General features: G+C 46.1%; 1 protein-coding gene across 3 annotated transcripts in view, besides 1 other annotated feature; it reads left to right on the top strand.

The window, feature by feature from the left end:
• WIPF3 (WAS/WASL interacting protein family member 3) overlaps window positions 1-17359 on the top strand; it is a 110554-nt gene that overhangs the window by 78970 nt on the left and 14225 nt on the right. For all 3 annotated transcript variants that reach the window (NM_001080529.3, NM_001391973.1, XM_017012522.2), the window contains 2 exons: window positions 2591-2740; window positions 3829-3930. In NM_001080529.3, the coding sequence (NP_001073998.2) occupies window positions 2591-2740; window positions 3829-3930 (252 nt within the window). The remainder of the gene's footprint in view (window positions 1-2590; window positions 2741-3828; window positions 3931-17359) is intronic.
• Window positions 5100-5639: an enhancer, noted in NCBI's record as "H3K27ac-H3K4me1 hESC enhancer chr7:29930193-29930732 (GRCh37/hg19 assembly coordinates)". NCBI's record gives its function as "activates a minimal SCP1, AML or CMV promoter by ChIP-STARR-seq in naive H9 embryonic stem cells {active_cell/tissue: H9 hESC(naive)}" and the evidence as "EXISTENCE:reporter gene assay evidence [ECO:0000049][PMID:30033119]".

Genomic DNA, 17359 nt, shown 5'->3' on the forward strand with positions numbered 1-17359 from the left:
TTAAAAATAACGCAAGCTTGTTGCAGAGCTAATAGACGGAAATTCAAACTGGCCAGGTACGGATGGCTCACACCGGTAATCCCACTGCTTTGGGAGGCCCATGCATGAAGATGGCTTGAGGTCAGGAGTTCTAGGCCAGCCTGGGTAACACAGCGAAACCCCATCTCTACAGAAAATAAAAATAAAAAATTGGCTGGGCATGGTGGCAGACAACTATAGTCCCAGCTACTTGGGAGGCTAAGGCAGGAGGATCGTTTGAATCTAGGTGTTCAAGGCTGTGGGGAGCTATGATTGTGCCATTGTACTCCAGATTGGATGACAGAGCCAGATGCTGCTGTCTCTGAGTAAATTAAGTAATTCAATCACCCATAATAACATCACCCAGAGATGAAAACTGCCATTTGGATAGGTTTCTTCAATTCTTTTTTCTGAATATATGTACACGTTTACATGGTTAATACCATTTTTCACATACAGTTTTGTGTTCTGTGTTTTATTTAACATTATGTTAAAAACAATTTTATCAAATTGTTAAAATGTCTTTATAAGCATGACAATATATTCCATATTCCTCATGTTAGATATCTAAGTTGATTCCATTTTTTGTTATTATGAGTAATATTTTAAGAAATACTTTTGTAGAAATTTTAATCCACGTTTTTGATATTTTTCTAAAAGTATTGGTGTCTTAAAGGGAATTCCTGGTGCAAAGAGCAAAGATATTTTTAAGCCTCTTGATTACAAGAGGTAAGGTTTTAATCATTCTCTTTTCAATTGACTGGTCACCATGAGGGCCAGCATTTGGGCTGATAAGCCCCTTCTGATATTTGTTATTTTCATCTATTTATGATGTGATGAAAAAGACAAAGCTTTTTTTTTTTTTTTTTTTTTTTTTTTGAGACACAGTTTCACTCTGCCATCTAGGCTGGAGTGCAGTGGCAGGATCTCAGCTCACTGCAACCTTCGCCTCCCAGGTTCAAGTGATTCTTGTGCCTCAACCTTCCGAGTAGCTGAGGTTACAGGCGTGCACCACCACACCTGGCTAATTTTTGTATTTTTAGTAGAGACAGGGTTTCCCCATGTTGGCCAGGCTGGTCTCGAACTCCTGACTTCAAGTGATCAGCCCACCTCAGCCTCCTAAGGTGCTGGTATTACAAGTGTGAGCCACTATGCCCGGCCAACAAAAACAAGGCTTTTGATTCAGAGGGCTATGAGTTCAGATCCTGGGTTCCTCACCCACTCCTGTGGAAACTCACACCACTTGGGTTTGTTTTTTATTAATACTGAATTTTTTTTATTTGACAAATGGGCCTACTAATAACACCTTTCACATAGGATTATTAGGAATATGAAATGAGAAATCTGCATAAAGGGCTTGCATGTAACTTCAGCTCCAGCAGCATTATTTCCTTACCACACAGTGGGGCAGCTGTTCACCCAGAAGAGGGGCTGCAGTCCTTTTACTGCATGTGGGAGCAAGTAAATTCCTCATAGATCCTTGTGCCCAGAAAGGGAAGACCAGAAAGGGAGAGGAAGGCAGTTGGGAGGAAGAAAAGAAGATGAGCAGATGCTGAAGGGACATGAGACACGAGGATGGCGGCTGATGACTGAGAATGCCTGCTGCAGCTGGGGCCCCTTCATCTGCTCCAGAGTAGTGAGCCCAAGGCCAGGATGGGGATTCATATCTGCCCTTCTTGTTTGCATCTTTGGATTTGAAACTTGGTTTGTCCATGTTCAAAATAAGGGCAATTTCTACTTTAGCCCAACATGGGGGGAAAAGAGAGAGGTAGTAGTTGTGAACATCTTAGCACAGATAGTAATAATGTAATTGTCATCATTTCAAGAAGCAAAGTGATGTTTGCAGTGCCACTGAAGAAATAAGCAGCAGTGGAACCCCTGCACTGATGTGCCAGGATAGCAGATTTTGGGTTGCCAGATGAACCATACAGGAAAGTATTGGCAAAGGAGATAGTGAGCCTCTCAGGCATGATCAGAGAAGGCTGGAGGAAGTAGGTTGGATTCAAGTTAGGCCCTGGAGGGCACGTAAGATTTAGGTGGACCGGAAAGAGAAACAAGCATTTGCAGTGCTGGAGAACCAGTGTGAGCAGGGACACAGGGGCAGAACAAGCCCCTGGCCGCTCCCTCTTCAAGCCTCCCTCTGGGCCTCTTCTACAGACAGCCCTTCCTGTTCTTACCACTCTCTAGTGATTCCCCTGCTTTGGGCTGTACCTGATGATGAAGGTTATCACCATCATTAATATTATTGCAGCAGCTAACATTTATTGAGGACTTACTACATGCCACTCAACTTAAATTCAACTCATTGAATCTTCTCAGTAACCCTGGGAAGTGGGTGTACTATTACTACTCCCATCTTACAGATGAGGAAACTAAAACACAAAGAGGCTATGCTACTTATCCCAACAGGAGAACTGCAATTCAGTGCCAAGCAGGTTGACTCCAGAGGTTGCCCTTTTACTCGCTGTATCATATTACATCTGAAGATAGAAATGCCTAATATCTCACATAAGGTTATAGCATCCACCATTCCCATCCGTGTTTCTGAGTACACCATCATCTTCTCTGTAAGGGGCCGGTGGGGGAAAGCTAAATCCACCTCCAGCACCCCCTGCGAGATCACCTACCACAGAGCTTTCAAGCAAGAGCCAGCAGGCCACAGCCTGGACCCCGACGCAGCAGCCTGGAGGTCAACTGCGAAATGGAAGCCTGCACATCATTGGTAAGTGGGTTGCACCCTCTGCCGGTTTGGCTGCCAGTAGGAAAGTGATTCTCCCAACCTCTGGAGAGAGAGTTTGCTGGCCACAGTGCTGCCATCTCAGGGTGCATGCTTCTTTCATGAACAGGGGCTCACTCCAGCACCAACCAGCCCATAGGTTCTGTTAAATAGGGTTCCTTTCAAGGCTTTCTGCATAGTTTCAAGGCCCACTGTCTAGCCTTCTAATTCAGATTAGAGAAAGGGAAGAAAAGCAGCATTTAAACTGTGTGAGTGTGTGTGCGTGTGCGTGTGTGTGCGTGTGTGTGTGTGTGTGTGTGTGTCTATGGAGAAATCAATGCATAAGCCTGAAAGAGTAGAATGATATGGATAAGGAGAAAGATACATAGAAGACTCACCAGGTAGAGGGACATTTTGAGTACAAGTATGGAGGTAGGAAGGAAAGTCACCTGGGGTCAGATGTGAAGCCGTGGAATCTTTCGATCCCTTCTGTGTGCTGGGCTAGTGTCTGACAGAGGCCCAGATCACAAAGCAGGGGCTCAGCCCATGAAAGGGCCACAGGAGCCCTCCCCTCCTGCCAACAGATCCCAGAGCAGAAGCTGTTTGCTTTGTGGAGCTCAGGTCCCACCCTAGACACAGGCCATGCTCCTCCATTCCCCAGTCATTCTGCCCACCTCTCCCTCCCCTCAAAACCCTCCCAGGAGCTTCTCAGGTGCTTCAGGTTGCTGGGGCTTTGCCAGTTCCTTGTTGGGACCAGGGTCCCCACCTCTGATTCTGGACCCTGGAGAGCCCCATGCCACTTCCACCCCTTTAGCAGCTTCCTTACGGTGTTATTGGTTGAAGTAAGTTCAGGTGGGTGACAGGGAGTGACTGGATTTCCCTCTTCCTGCTTCCCTCCATCCCAACCAACCAGTAAAACTTGAGAGGTGAATGGATGTCTTAGGGAGAATGGCCCTGTTGTTAAAATCCTTGCACTGAGCAGGCAAACAGAAAACGGTGGATGCAGTCAGAGTAATCTCTGTGCTCCTGGAAATGATCAAAACTTGGATCATGACAGTAACCTGAGTAACTCTTTCCATTTCGCTTGTGTGCAGATGACTTCGAGTCTAAATTCACGTTCCATTCTGTGGAAGACTTTCCCCCTCCGGATGAATATAAACCATGCCAGAAGATTTACCCCAGCAAGATCCCCAGAAGTAAGTACCACCTTGATAAGACTCCTGGCATCTCCCGACCCTTCAAAATTAGGTGCCCACTGTGCATCAGTTGGTCACAGACTGTCTAAAGGATGATGTCATGATTTCACTGTACCACTGCAAGGATGTAGTGCTGTGCATAGTTCTGGAACTTTCAGGACATTGATTTCTCCTGATACCTAAGTGTTCATTTAGAGATTTTTATAGAACACTAAGGGTAACTGTTTGGCATCAGATTTGGATGCCTAAACTTACCACTCATCTCTCTCCTCCCTGGGGCTTTTGATAAGGGAACTAACCAACCCAGATAACAGCAAAATAGGATATTTTGCATCAATCACTGAGGAGGAACCTGAAAACCCCTAATTCAGAACTCTGGCAAATCGTGACATGGAGAATGTCCTCAGGTCAATGGTTCTCAACCTTGGCAACATATTAGAATGACCTAAGGAGCTTTTACAAATCCTGAAGGCCAGGTTACATCTAAACCACATAATCAGAATATCAAGGTGTCAGGATTTTTAAAAGCTGCCAGGTCATTCCAACATACAGCCAAGGTTGAGAATAATAGCCCAGTAAGGGCCCTCCTCCTCCTGATTTCATTGTGTGGTCAGACTTTAAGAGAGGACATTTAACCCAGCTTAACTGTTCAGCCTTAAGAGTAGAAAGATGAGCCAGGCATGATCCATGCCTGTAACCCCAGCACTTTGGGAGGCTGAGGCAGGAGGATCACATGAGGCCAGGAGTTTAAGGCCAGCCTTGTCAACATAGCAAGATTCCATTTCTACAAAATAATTAGCCAGGTGTGGTAGTGCACACCTGTAGTCCCAGCTTCTTGGGAGCCTGAGGTGGGAGGATTGCTTGAGCCCAGGAGTTGGAGGCTGCAGTGAGCTATGATTGTGCCACTTCACTCCAGCATTGATGACAGAGTGAGACTCTGTATCCACAAAAAAAAAAAAAAAAAAGAGAGAGAGAGAATGAGGTGATGAGGTGGAAGAGCCAATTCTTGTCTGGTACTGGGCCAATCAGATTGGGCAGGAGCCAGAGTCAGCATTATAGAGTGAGTGTCAAATGCGTTCCCACCCGACACCCTAAGTAAGCCCCCATTCCAGACCTCTGTGGACCCAGATGGAAAATCAGTGTCCAGGGTTAGCCTAAGACCAGGAATCGTGAGCCAGGCTCTTTGCCCGTCTTCTTTCAGAGGGACCTTAGTGAAGTCCTTTCTGCAGAACTCAACTTCCTGCAGAGCAGAGGGAATGCAGGCCTGCCGTGTGCTCAGGTGGAGGGCGCGTGGACCTGCCCTGTGCTCAGGTGGAGGGAACCCAGGGCCCTGTGCTCAGGTGGAGGGGGCTCAGGCCTGCCCTGTGTTCAGGTGGAGGGGGCGAGGGCCTGCCCTGTGCTCAGGTGGAGGGGGCGCAGACCTGCCCTGTGCTCAGGTGGAGGGGATGTGGGCCTGCCCTGTGCTCAGGTGGAAGGGGTGAGGGCCTGCCCTGTGCTCAGGTGGGGGGAATGCGGGCCTGCCTTGTGCTCAGGTGGAGGGGGCGCGGGCCTGCCCTGTGCTCAGGTGGAGGGGGCGAGGGCCTGCCCTGTGCTCAGGTGGAGGGGGCGAGGGCCTGCCCTGTGCTCAGGTGGAGGGGGCACGGGCCTGCCTTGTGCTCAGGTGTGGTGAACACAGGCCTTCCCTGTGCTCAGGTCGGGGGAACACGGGCCTGCCCTGTGCTCAGGTGGAGGGGGCGCGGGCCTGCCCTGTGCTCAGGTGGAGGGGGCGCGGGCCTGCCCTGTGCTCAGGTGGAGGGGGCGAGGGCCTGCCCTGTGCTCAGGTGGAGGGGGCGAGGGCCTGCCCTGTGCTCAGGTGGAGGGGGCGAGGGCCTGCCCTGTGCTCAGGTGTGGGGAACACGGGCCTGCCCTGTGCTCTGGTCGGGGGAAAGTGGGCCTGCCCTGTGCTCAGGTGAGGGGAACACAGGCCTGCCTTGTGCTCAGGTGGATGTTCATCTCTGGGTCCGCTGGGACATCTCTCTGCTGGCCTGCGTGGCTGTACATTTAGAGATATAACCCTGTGTGCCCTTTCTAATAAAATGTAAATACCAACTGCTCTGAGTTGAGAGAGAGAGAAAGGGATCAGTATGAAGGAGGATGGAGGGAAATCCCACCCACTGAAGGTTAAATAGAACATGAAGGGCCAGCAATGGGGGAAGACAGGTGCTGTGTCCATCTCCCATCCTTGCTCAGTTCAGCGCGCTCACATGAACCGCCTGTCATACGGCAGGCACCCTGTAGGCACCAGAGGCTGCAAAGTGTAAGAAACAAGCTCTCCTCCACCACGCACCCACCACCCTCCTGAGATAGATGAGAATTAGACCCCATAAGAGTGTCTTAATCAATGATTGTTTAGAGTGCCAAGGGGGTGCAGGTGAATGCTGGGGGCCTGAAAGCCAGAGAGAGAGGGTCACAGTTCCACGTGGGTGGGAAGGCATCCAGGCTGAGGACAGGACAGACCCAGGAGAGAGTGTGATTGTGCTGGGTGCATGTAGGAACCATCTGTCCCACGTGGTACATCAGAGCCCAAGGTGCCTGGCTAGATAAGACCATACAGACTGCCGGAGGTGCAAGGTTGGGAGTGTGTGTCCATATATAACACCCCTTTCCCCATCTTGTGAAATATGCACAGGAATCAGCTCGATAAAAACCTAAGTGTTTGTGTTCTTATTGGAGGACACAGCTTAGGTTCCCCAACAGCAGGCCTCCTAATACTGCCCCAGAATTAGGCTCCTTTACTCCCTCAGGCAGCAGGACTCACACATGAGGAAACTGAGCCTGGCCCCCTACAGTCACAGAGTGTGCCTCACGGGACTTTCCACATGGCAAGGAGAGCAGAGCCAAGGGACCCCCTTCATCAACAGGCAGCTGGATCTCATAGTGGGCCGGAAGGAGCCAGGCTGCACGGGGCTGCCTGCACATGAACCTATGGAGACAAGGAGATAAGGGTGCCTTCTAACAGTCTGTGTCCTGCCTAAGGCATTGGAGCGTGAACCTGTAAGCAGGGAAGAACTGTCAGTGCAAACACTAAATGACAGTTCCAGGGCCGTCATGGACCCTGCAGTGGATGCTGTGGATGTTCATGCCTGGCACTGTTCTAGGTGCTTTGCATACCTTATCATTTGTCCTTAATGCAGAGAGTTTCCAGACAGGGAAAAGGCCAAGTGACTTGCCTAAAGCCTCACAGCAGATTAAAGCCAGAGCCAGGAATTTTGAACCCACACCTGTCTGAACCCAGGGCCAGTTCCATTTGGCCGTGGTGAACTCTGAGAACGGACGTGATGAGATGCAGGTTGAGACAGATAACCAGTGGCTTGATCAGAGGAGGTAGAGACCAGGGTCAGGGAACCTGTTAGCCAGCTATTATAAGAGTCTGTGCTGGGAGGCTGAGGCAGGCAGATCACCTGAGGTCAGGAGTTTGAGACCAGCCTGGTCAACATGGTGAAACCCTGTCTCTACTAAAAATACAAAGTTAGCCGGGTGTGGTGGCGGACGCCCGTAATCCCAGCTACTTGGGAGGCTGAGGCAGGAGGATTGCTTGAACCTGGGAGGCAGAGGTTGCAGTGAGCTGAGATCGTGCCATTGCAATCCAGCCTGGGTGACAAGAGCAAAATTCCATCTAAAAACAAAAAACAAAAAAAAAAGAGTCTGTGCAAGGGAGGTTGGATGGAGGAGGTCCTCAGAGTGATCAGGGTTTGGAGAACCAGGTGCAGATGGGATCAAGGAAAGTGGAGGAGCCAGCATCCCAGGAGTGCCTGCCTTGGGCTGGTTGGAGAATGTGACACCAAGAAGGAACTGGAGGTTTCAGGGGGAGGTGATGGGATTCCTGTCATTTATGGTGAGGGGAGGTGGCTAAAGGGCTACAAGGGGGAGATGCCATGTGGCAGGTGGAGCGCAGGGTATACAGGTCTGGGGCTGATAGGGTGGGGCAAGGGCAAGGACTTGATTTGCTGGCCATTAGTTTGGAGATGGAAATATAGAACAATGAAGGACATGGCCATGATGTCGGCCGGGGTGCGTGAAGTAGGTCTGTCTGTGTGACAGGAGGCTTTAAGCTGCCAATGAACAGGGTCAACTCAGTCCCTCCCAGACAGCCAGGCCCGTGCAAGCATTTAATAAATGGGACTTGACTTTGGTGACCTAGACAGAAAGCTGAGGGGGGAGGTAAGGAATTCCTTTTATTATACTGTCACCAAGTTGTAAATCAAGAATGTATACTGTTTTTCTTAATTTAATTCAGTACACTTATTGGCAGTATTGAAATAACTGTGCCCTTGGAAAATGCAAATGTACAGAATCCCAGCTACTGGCTCATTCAGGCTCCTTTCCTTCCCCTGAGGCAGGGTTTGCTGACTGGCCACGTTCATGCCATAAGCCCCACAGCTTTCCCTTACACCCACCTGGCCCCTGAAGGCTTTTTAATTGTAACCTATACCCTAAACCAGAGGTCAGCAAACATTTGCTGTAAAGGACCAGAGAATACATATTTGAAGTAATGCAGGTCTCGATTACAACTACTCAATTCTGCTGATTATTAAATCAATCAGCAGCCATAAATAATACATAAATGAATCGGCATGGCTGTGTTCCAATAAAACTTTATTTACAAAAACAGGTGTGGGCTGGATTTGGTCTGCTGGTCATGTTTTGCTGATCTGCCCTAAACCATTCCAGAAAACAGATTCCTAAAAACCTCTTTCTGCTCTTCAGTCTTTCTCAGTAATGTGCTGTGGGGTCCCTCAACCTTCAGATTCAGTCAGTGCTAATCTACAGCTAGCTGCATTTTATGTCCGTGGTGCTCACTCGCGTCCTCAAGAAGAGAAGAAAAGCTACACCCCCTCACTGCACACAGCTTGCCAGGAGGGTGCAATTGGCAGTCTGTGCACCAAAAATAATCTCCTGATGTTTACAAAGAGCAGTTTTTTAAACAGCCTATTAAATGAACTGACATTGTACAGACTTGAAAGGGCAAGTGCAATTTCAAAATTAAGATACTGTTTTAGATTGATGTGGCATCGGTGGACACGAAGTACTCCACTAGCCTCCCAGCAAAATTAAATATGCATGTTCCTGTCATCCCTGTGAGCCCTAGTGCAGAACCTTTTAAATTATATTAGTGTGAATCAGATGTGGTGTATGCCTGTCTGATTACATTTCTCCTTACCAGTTTTCTTCTTGTTCACTGTTGACCTGGCTCCCCAAGATGAGTTCTTCGTGGTCTGGGAGACAGTGTTGTTTCTATCAGATGAGTGTGTTCTCATACCCTGTGGTCTCCTATGTGCCCTCTGTCCCCACCTGCTTGTTTGCTGTCTCTCTTTCTGACACACACACACACACACACACACGACACACACACGAGCACACACGCTTAGCTCTTCCACTAGCCATCATCACTGTCTCCACTCTGCAGGTGTTTGCTATTTTCTTCCATTGAGTGAATGGCTTTGTTTAGTTTTGTGTTTTGTGTGTGTTGTTGTTTTTTTTTGTTGTTGTTGTTGTTTTTCGCTTTTGTTTTGTTTCATTTTTTTGAGGCAGTCTCACTCGTTTGCCTAGGCTGGAGTGCAGTGGCGTGATCTCGGCTCACTACAACCTCTGCCTCCTGGGTTCAACCGATTCTCCTGCCTCAGCCTCCCAAGTAGCCCATGCACCACCACACCCAGCTAATTTTTGTATTTTCAGTACAGACAGGGTTTCATCCTGTTGGCCAGGCTGGGCTCGAACTCCTGACCTCAAGTGATCCGCCCACCTCGGCAACTCAAAGTGTTGGGTGGGTGAGCCACCGCACCCAGCCTAGTTTTTTTTTCCTAATGTTTTTAAAATGCATTAGATTCCTCAGTAAGTGAAACATATAATTACCATTATGACCCATCAATTCCACTCTTGGGTATAGGCTAAAAAGAATTTAAAACTAGTGTTCAAACAAGAACTTGTACACAAATATTCATAGCAGCACTATTCACAATAGCTAAAAGGTGGAAATAACTGATGAACACAGAAGCAAAATGTGGTGTAGCCATACGATGGAATATGATTCAACAAGAAATAGGATGGAAGCACTGATACATTGCTACAACATGGATAAACCTTGTGTTAGTTTGTTCTCACATTGTTATAAAGAAATACTTGAAACTGGGTAATTTATAGGAAAAGAGGCGTAATTGGCTCACAGTTCTGCAGGCTGTACAGGAAGCATAATGCCAGCATTTGCTTCTTGGGAAGCCTCAGGGAGCATCCAGTCATGGTGGAAGGCGAATGAGGAGCACTTGTGTCACGTGACGGAGCGGAGCAACAGGGAGAGTGTTTGGAGGAGGTGCCACACACTTAACCAGATCTTGCAAGAATTCACTATCTCCAGGACAGCATCAAGCCATAAGGGATCTGCCCCCATGACTCAGACACCTCACACCAGGCCCCACCTCTAAATTGGGGATTACAGTTAAACATGAAATTTGGTGGGGACACGTATTCAAACTATATCAAACCTTGAAAATATTATGTAAGTGAAAGAATCCAGAAACGAAAGGCCACATGTTGTATAATTTCATTCAGATGGAATGTCCAGAAGAGGCAAATCCACAGAGACAGAAAATAGATTAGTGGTTTCCAGAGAGAAGAGGAAGAAGGGAATGGTGAGTGAGTACTGATGGATGCAAGGCTTTCTTTTGGCAGCCAGGGCAACATAGCAAGACTCTGTCTTTACAGAAAAATTTTAAAAATTAGCCAGGCATGGTGGTGTGCTCCTATAGTCTCAGCTGCTGGGGAGGCTCAGGCAGGAGAATCATTTGAGCCCAGGAGTTTGAGACTGCAGTGAGCTATGATTGTGCCTGGGCAACAGTGAGATCCTCTCTAGCCTGCGCAACAGTGAGATCCTCTCTCTGAAAAAATTTTAGGCTGAGTACAGTGGCTCATGTCTCTAATCCCAGCACTTTGGGAGGCCAAAGCAGGTGGATGGCTTGAGCTCAAGAGCTCGAGACGAGCCTGGGCAACATGGCGAAACCCCATCACTACAAAAAAATACAAAAATTAGCTGAATGTGGTGGTGCATGCCTGTAGTCCCAGCTACCTGGGAGGCTGAGGTGGGAGGATTGCTTGAGCCCGGGAGGTGGAGGTTGCAGTGAGCCATAATGGTGCCACTGCACTCTAGCCTGGGTGCCAGAGCAAGACTGTCTCAAAAAAAAAATTTTTTTTTAAGTTTTCCTTTTGGGGTGATAGAAACATTTTGAAACTACATAGAAGTGATGGTTGCACAACACTGTAAATGTACTAAATGTCACTAATGGTAAATTGTATGTTATGTGTATTTTACAACAATAAAAAGAAAGTGAACAAAAACTGTCAGTAGGAATTTTGGGAAAAATGCAAAGGTCACAAATATTTGTTAACATAATGATGGTATAAAGAATGACATCATCTTCCTATCAACAGATACTCACTGAGGCCCTTGCCCTTTGGAGAGATTTAGATAAACAAGTACCTCACATGTGCTTGAAAAATTCACATTTCAAACATAATTGTGGTTATATCCCAAGTCCTGAACAACTCCCCATTCTCCTCTTCCCCCAGCCCCTGGCAATACCCTTCTACTCTCTGTCTCTATTAATTTCACTGCTCTAGGTACCTCATGTAAGTGGAATTATATAGCATTAGTTTTTTTAAGCCTGGTTTATTTTACTTAGCTTATGTCCTCAAAATTCATCTATGTTGTAGCATATGTCAAAATTTATTTCCTTTTTAAGGCTGAATAGTATTCCATCGTATGGATGTACCACATTTTGTTATCCATTAATCTGTTGATAGACACTTGGGCTGCTTCCACCTCTTAACTTCTGTGAATGCTCTGAACATGGAAGTACAAATATCTGTTCAAGTCCCTGCTTTCAATACCCAAAGTAGAATTGCTGGATCGTATGGTAATTCCATTTTTAATTTTTTGAGGAAATGCTATACTGTTTTCATATCTACTGGGCCATTTTACACTTCTACCATCAGTGTGCAAGTGTTTCAATTTCTCTATATTCTCTCTGACAATTTTTATTTTCTGTTTTTTATTTTATCTTATTTTTGTTGTATAGTGGCCATTCTGACAGGTGTGAGGTGGTATCTCTTTGTGATTGAACTCCTATTTTAAAATAGAGTTACTTTACACTTAACAGTAAAAACACGCACCGTTATTTCCATTAGCAATGGAAACTCTCCATTAGGCACTGCAGTAATTTCAACAGTATGGAATAGTTCATGTCATAAAAATTAAAGAATTAGATGTCCCAAGACAGAGAACAAAACATACTGCCAGTAGGAGGGTATTTATTTCCATCTTTGCGGAAGGCAGCTGGGGAGTAAGAACCTCTGCCCTGATGAGCTTTCCTTGGTGAAGCCTGGTTTTTACTGCTGACCATACCTCTTCAAAAGCTGTCTTCCAGCACCCCACTCTTTTACCACAGCTTCTGTCCTTCCAGGACAATCCTTTGTTTCTTTGAACCCATGAAGGTACTGTAATGTCTATAAAGTATCTCTCTGGACCTACTCTGGTCCCTGAGCCATTTTTCTGCTCTTCTCTTAGCCAACACTGCCTCCACTTCCCCACCCCCTGTTCTCTCTGGAGCCAAGTCCTCCCAGGCTTTCTCCCCTCAGCACCATGGTAAGCGCTCTTACCAAGGCCACCAGTGGAGCTCCATGTTGCCAACTACAGTGTCAGAGGCTCTAGCCTCAGCCCGTCACTCCCTCTTTCTGAAACACTTCTTCATTTAGATTTTATGACAGCTCTCTCCTTTCTCCTTCCACTGTACACTGACTCCTTCTCAGTTTTTTGTTACACCACACACTTCAGAGTCGTCTTTGACTTCTCTCTTCTACTCCTGCATCCAACTTACCAGTGAACTCGGGTGTCTCTCCTTGAAATGCACCCAGAATCCGATCTCTCTTACCTCCTCTGCCACTCCCATTCTGCCCTAAGCCACTGTCATTCCTCACCTGAATTGTTGCTGGAACCTGCTAACAGGATCCACTGCTTCACACTGCAGCCCAAGTGATTTGTCTACAGTCCAAGTCCAGTCACTCCCCTCCGCTCAGAATCCTCCAGGGAATCCCCATCTCGCCCCAAGTCAACTGGAAATTCCTATCATGGTTCATAAGACCTACGTGAACTTCCTCCCTCCCCTTTCACCACTCTCCTCCTACCTCATTGTGCTCTAACAACACCTGCAATTTCCAGAACATTCCAAGTACACATTTGTTCCTGGGCTCTGCATTTGCTGTTCCTTCTGATACCTGGTTCTGAGTGATGATAACCACTTTTAATACATTGGTGTACATATTTCTGGTCTTTTCTCTCTTTATTTGATCAATTTCTTTTCTACCTAAATATACAAACTATTTTTTACAAAATTTAGGTTTTATTTTGTGTACTTTTTAGTATACTTTCTCCGAATATCCATGTGACCGTCTCCCTACTTTCTCTTGATCTTTGATCAAATGGTACCTGTCTTAGCTCAGGCTGCCATAACAAAATACCATAGACTGGGTGGCACAAACAACAGAAATTTATTTTCTCATGGTTCTGGAGGCTGAGAAGTCCAAGATCAAGGTGCTGGTCAATTTAGTTTCTGGGGAGGGCTCTCTTCCTGGCTTGCAGAGGGCTACCTTCTCACTGTGTGCACACTTGGTGCCACACAAGCTTCCTGGTGTCCTGTTTTATAAGGGCACTAATCCCATCATGAGGGTCCCATCCTCATGACTTCATTTGCACCTAACGACCTGCCAAAAGCCACACCTCCAAATACCATCATACTGGGGCTAGGGCTTCCACATATGAATTTTGGAGAAACACGATTCAATCCATGGCAGTAACTTATCAGAGAGGTCTCCCCTGACTACCCTGTATAAGACAGAAGCTCTTCCTGCCCTATCACTTTTTATTCTCTTTACACTGTTTTTTAATTGTCTTCAAAGCATTTATCACCTCCAGACATTATTTACCTGCTACTTGTCTGCCTCCGCAGTACAGTGTAAGGCCCTGAATGGCAGAGACTGCAGCAGTTTTTATTCACTGGCTTATTTCCAGCTCTCAGAATAAAGTGAGGCACACAGACACTCCTTACGTATTTGTTGAATTAATAAATTAAAATGTTCACTCATATATGCATTGCTGAACCATTTACATAATAAAACAATTTGGAAATAGCACACATCTCCAGTATTGGGGTTAAATAAATGGAGGCAGAGCCACACAATGGAACGCTATGTAACCATTACAAAATGGGGCTATCAAATATTTAGTGACATGGGAAAATGTTTACCTTTTTACGTAAAAACACCTTGTTATGTAAAAACAATACCAAAAAATGTATACAAAAAAGTATATAAAATAAAATCTACATTTTGTAAAAAATAAATTCGTGTATCTGCAGAAAAGGAGAAGTTGATCAAATAGAAGAGAGAAGAGACTAGAAATATGTACACCAAAATATTTTATTTATTTATTTATTCATTTATTTAGAGATTAGGTCTCACTCTATTGCCCTGGCTCACTCTATTGCCCTGGCTCGAGTACAATGGTGCAATCTTGTCTCACTGCAGCCTCTGCCTCCCAGGTTCAAGTGATTCTCCTGCCTCAGCCTCTTGAGTAGCTGGGACTACAGGTGTGTGCCACCACGCCCAGCTAATTTTTGTATTTTTAGTAGAGATGCAGTTTTGCCATGTTGTTCAGGCTGTTCTCAACTCCTGGCCTCAAGTGATCCGCCTGCCTCAGCCTCCCAAAGTGCTGGGATTACAGGTGTGAGCCACTGCACCCAGCCTGTACACGAAAATATTAAAAGTGGTTATCGCTCAATGGTGAAAGTTGGGTGATATTAATTTTCTTTACTAATTAGTTCAAGTTTTTATAATACATGTGCATTGCTCTTAACAATCTTGAAATCTACTTTTTAAATTGCAAGTTGTCAGGAGAGAGAATATGATTAGCTCACCTCTGGCCCAAGCACCTGTGGACAGGAAGTGAGGTCCGCTGGTATGCAGGGTGACCTCTCTCAGAGACTGAGCGGGCTCAGTTCTCTGCGAGGAGAGGAGGTTGAGGAAGGAGTGATGGAGGCTCTCATACCAGCCAAAATGATGACAACAACAGTGGGGGATGAGAGGAAAGGCCAGATATGCAGTCTCTAAGGTTTAAACCTAGAAGACACTAGAATGATCATTTCCAATCACACTTGTCATTTCCTTCACTTAGAGATGATGAGAAGCCTCCAATGTAAGAACAAGAAAGGCCCTTTGAGGTCAGACAGCCCAACTCCTTCCTGTACAGCTAGAGAAGCCAAAGCAGAAGTAAAGTGGCCTGCCCTGTTTACAGCTGGTGGCAAAGCTGGGGCTAGAGTCCAAGTTCTCTGCCCTGGGGTCCAGCACTCCTTGCACCACATTGCACTGTCTCTCCACTCTGATGCCAGGGCAGCCCATAGCTTAGTCAGACGGTGTTGGCCCAGAGCTGACAGTTAGGTTTGCTTCAAAGCCCCCTCCCTGGCTCACAGGAATTGCAGCCCAGGGCTGGTGGTTATTCTGGGAGGGAATTGCAGCCCAGGGCTGGTGGTTATTCTGGGTGGTTATGAATGGGAGGGAAGAAGAGCCATCTGTGGACAGGAGATGGAAGCAGTGTCCACTCAGCCTGCTCTTAAGTGCAGTAGGTGCTTGAGATTGAGGAGAGAGGTAAACAATATTTCTGCTGATGAGTTACAGTATCCCAAGTGTGAAAACCCCTGATTTGGTGAATCTGCAAAGCCCTTCTGTGGGAAGGGAGCCCATGTGAAGGACTACTTCAGCAGAATGGCTCTGCTTTTGAATTCTGAGATTCTGGTGGCATCTCATAAGGGAAATTCCCTTTAAGGGAATATTTGGATTAAAAGCACTCTGACAAACCCTGACTAAGTCCCGGCCACTCACTTCTAGCAGCAGTGATTTTTTTTTTTTTTTTTTTTTTTTTTTACAAGACAGAGTTTGCCTTTCTGTTTTAGGGAGAAATTGATTCCCCTTTAACCTCCCCAATATTGTTTCTTGTCATATTTATGAAAACCAGTGGGAAGAGCCAGGTGCGATGGCTCATGTCTATAATCCCGACACTTTGGGAGGCTGAGGTGGGCGGATCGCTTGAGCTCAGGAGTTCAAGACCATCCTGGCCAACATGGCAAAACCCCATGTTTCTATTTTCATGTTTCTATTTTTCTATTTGAAGCCCCATTTTTTACTACCAAAAATATAAAAAAGTAGCCAGGTGTGGTGGTGTGCACCTGTAGTCCCAGCTACTCGGGAGGCTGAGGTGACAGGATTGCTTGAGCCTGGGAGACAGAGGTTGCAGTAAGCTGAGATCATGCCACTGCGCTCCAGAGCAAGTCCCTGTCTCAAAAAAAAAAAAAAAAAAAAAAAAGAAAGAAAGAAAGAAAAGAAAGAAAACCAGTGGGAATTGCTAACCTATGGTGAAGCCTATTTTATTGCCTAGTGGTTCCCAAACAGGGGGAATTTTGCCTCCCAGGAGACATTTGGCAATGTCTGGAGCCATTTTTGGGTTGTTACAAGTGGCCATAAGCAGGGGGCTGGGGTGTGCAACTGGCATCTAGTGCGTAGAGACCGGGGATGCTATTAAACATTCTGCAACACACAGGACCGCCCCCACAATAGAGAGTTATACAGCCCAAATGTCAATAAAGCCAAGATTGCAGACCCCTGGCCTAGAAGGTCTTTCTGTAGTGGACAGGAGTTTCTTAAATCTAAGAACAGTCATTTCCAAGGCTACCCTCTCACATGGAATTAGACAAGGGGCTGTATATTAGTGTTTTCTTCTTCTTCTTCTTCTTTTTTTTTTTTTTTTACTTTTTGCTCAGTTAATAAACTAGCTAAAAATCTAGCAGTTACTATATATTTTGCTCTAAAATATCTTTATTCTAGGACAAGTGCACTCATTAAGAAGTTTTAATGAAAATTACAGTGTCCATTTGATTAATGTGTTATAAGTTTTAGAGACCCTTCTACGTGATAGTCCAATTTAAAAAATTGTACCTTACCTTAAAAGGTTTTTATAATGACTTATATATGTTGTAGAAAAGTTGAAAAAATATTTCTGAAGGGAGTTTTTTGGCCAGGCATGGTGGCTCATGCCTATAATCCCAGCACTTTGGGAGGCCAAGGTGGGAGGATCACTTGAGCCCAGGAGTTCGAGATAAGCCTGGCCAACATGGCAAAACCTTGTCTCTACTAAAAATATCAAAAAAATTAGCCAGGCATGGTGGCAAGCACCTGTAGTCCTAGCTACTCAGGAGGCTGAGGAATCAGAATTGCTTGAACCTGGGAGGCGGAGGTTGCAGTGAGTTGAGATAGCACCACTGCACTCCAGCCTGTGGCAAGACTCTGTCTCAAA

This window comes from Homo sapiens, chromosome 7 (assembly GCF_000001405.40).
Source record: "Homo sapiens chromosome 7, GRCh38.p14 Primary Assembly".
Lineage (NCBI taxonomy): Eukaryota > Metazoa > Chordata > Mammalia > Primates > Hominidae > Homo > Homo sapiens.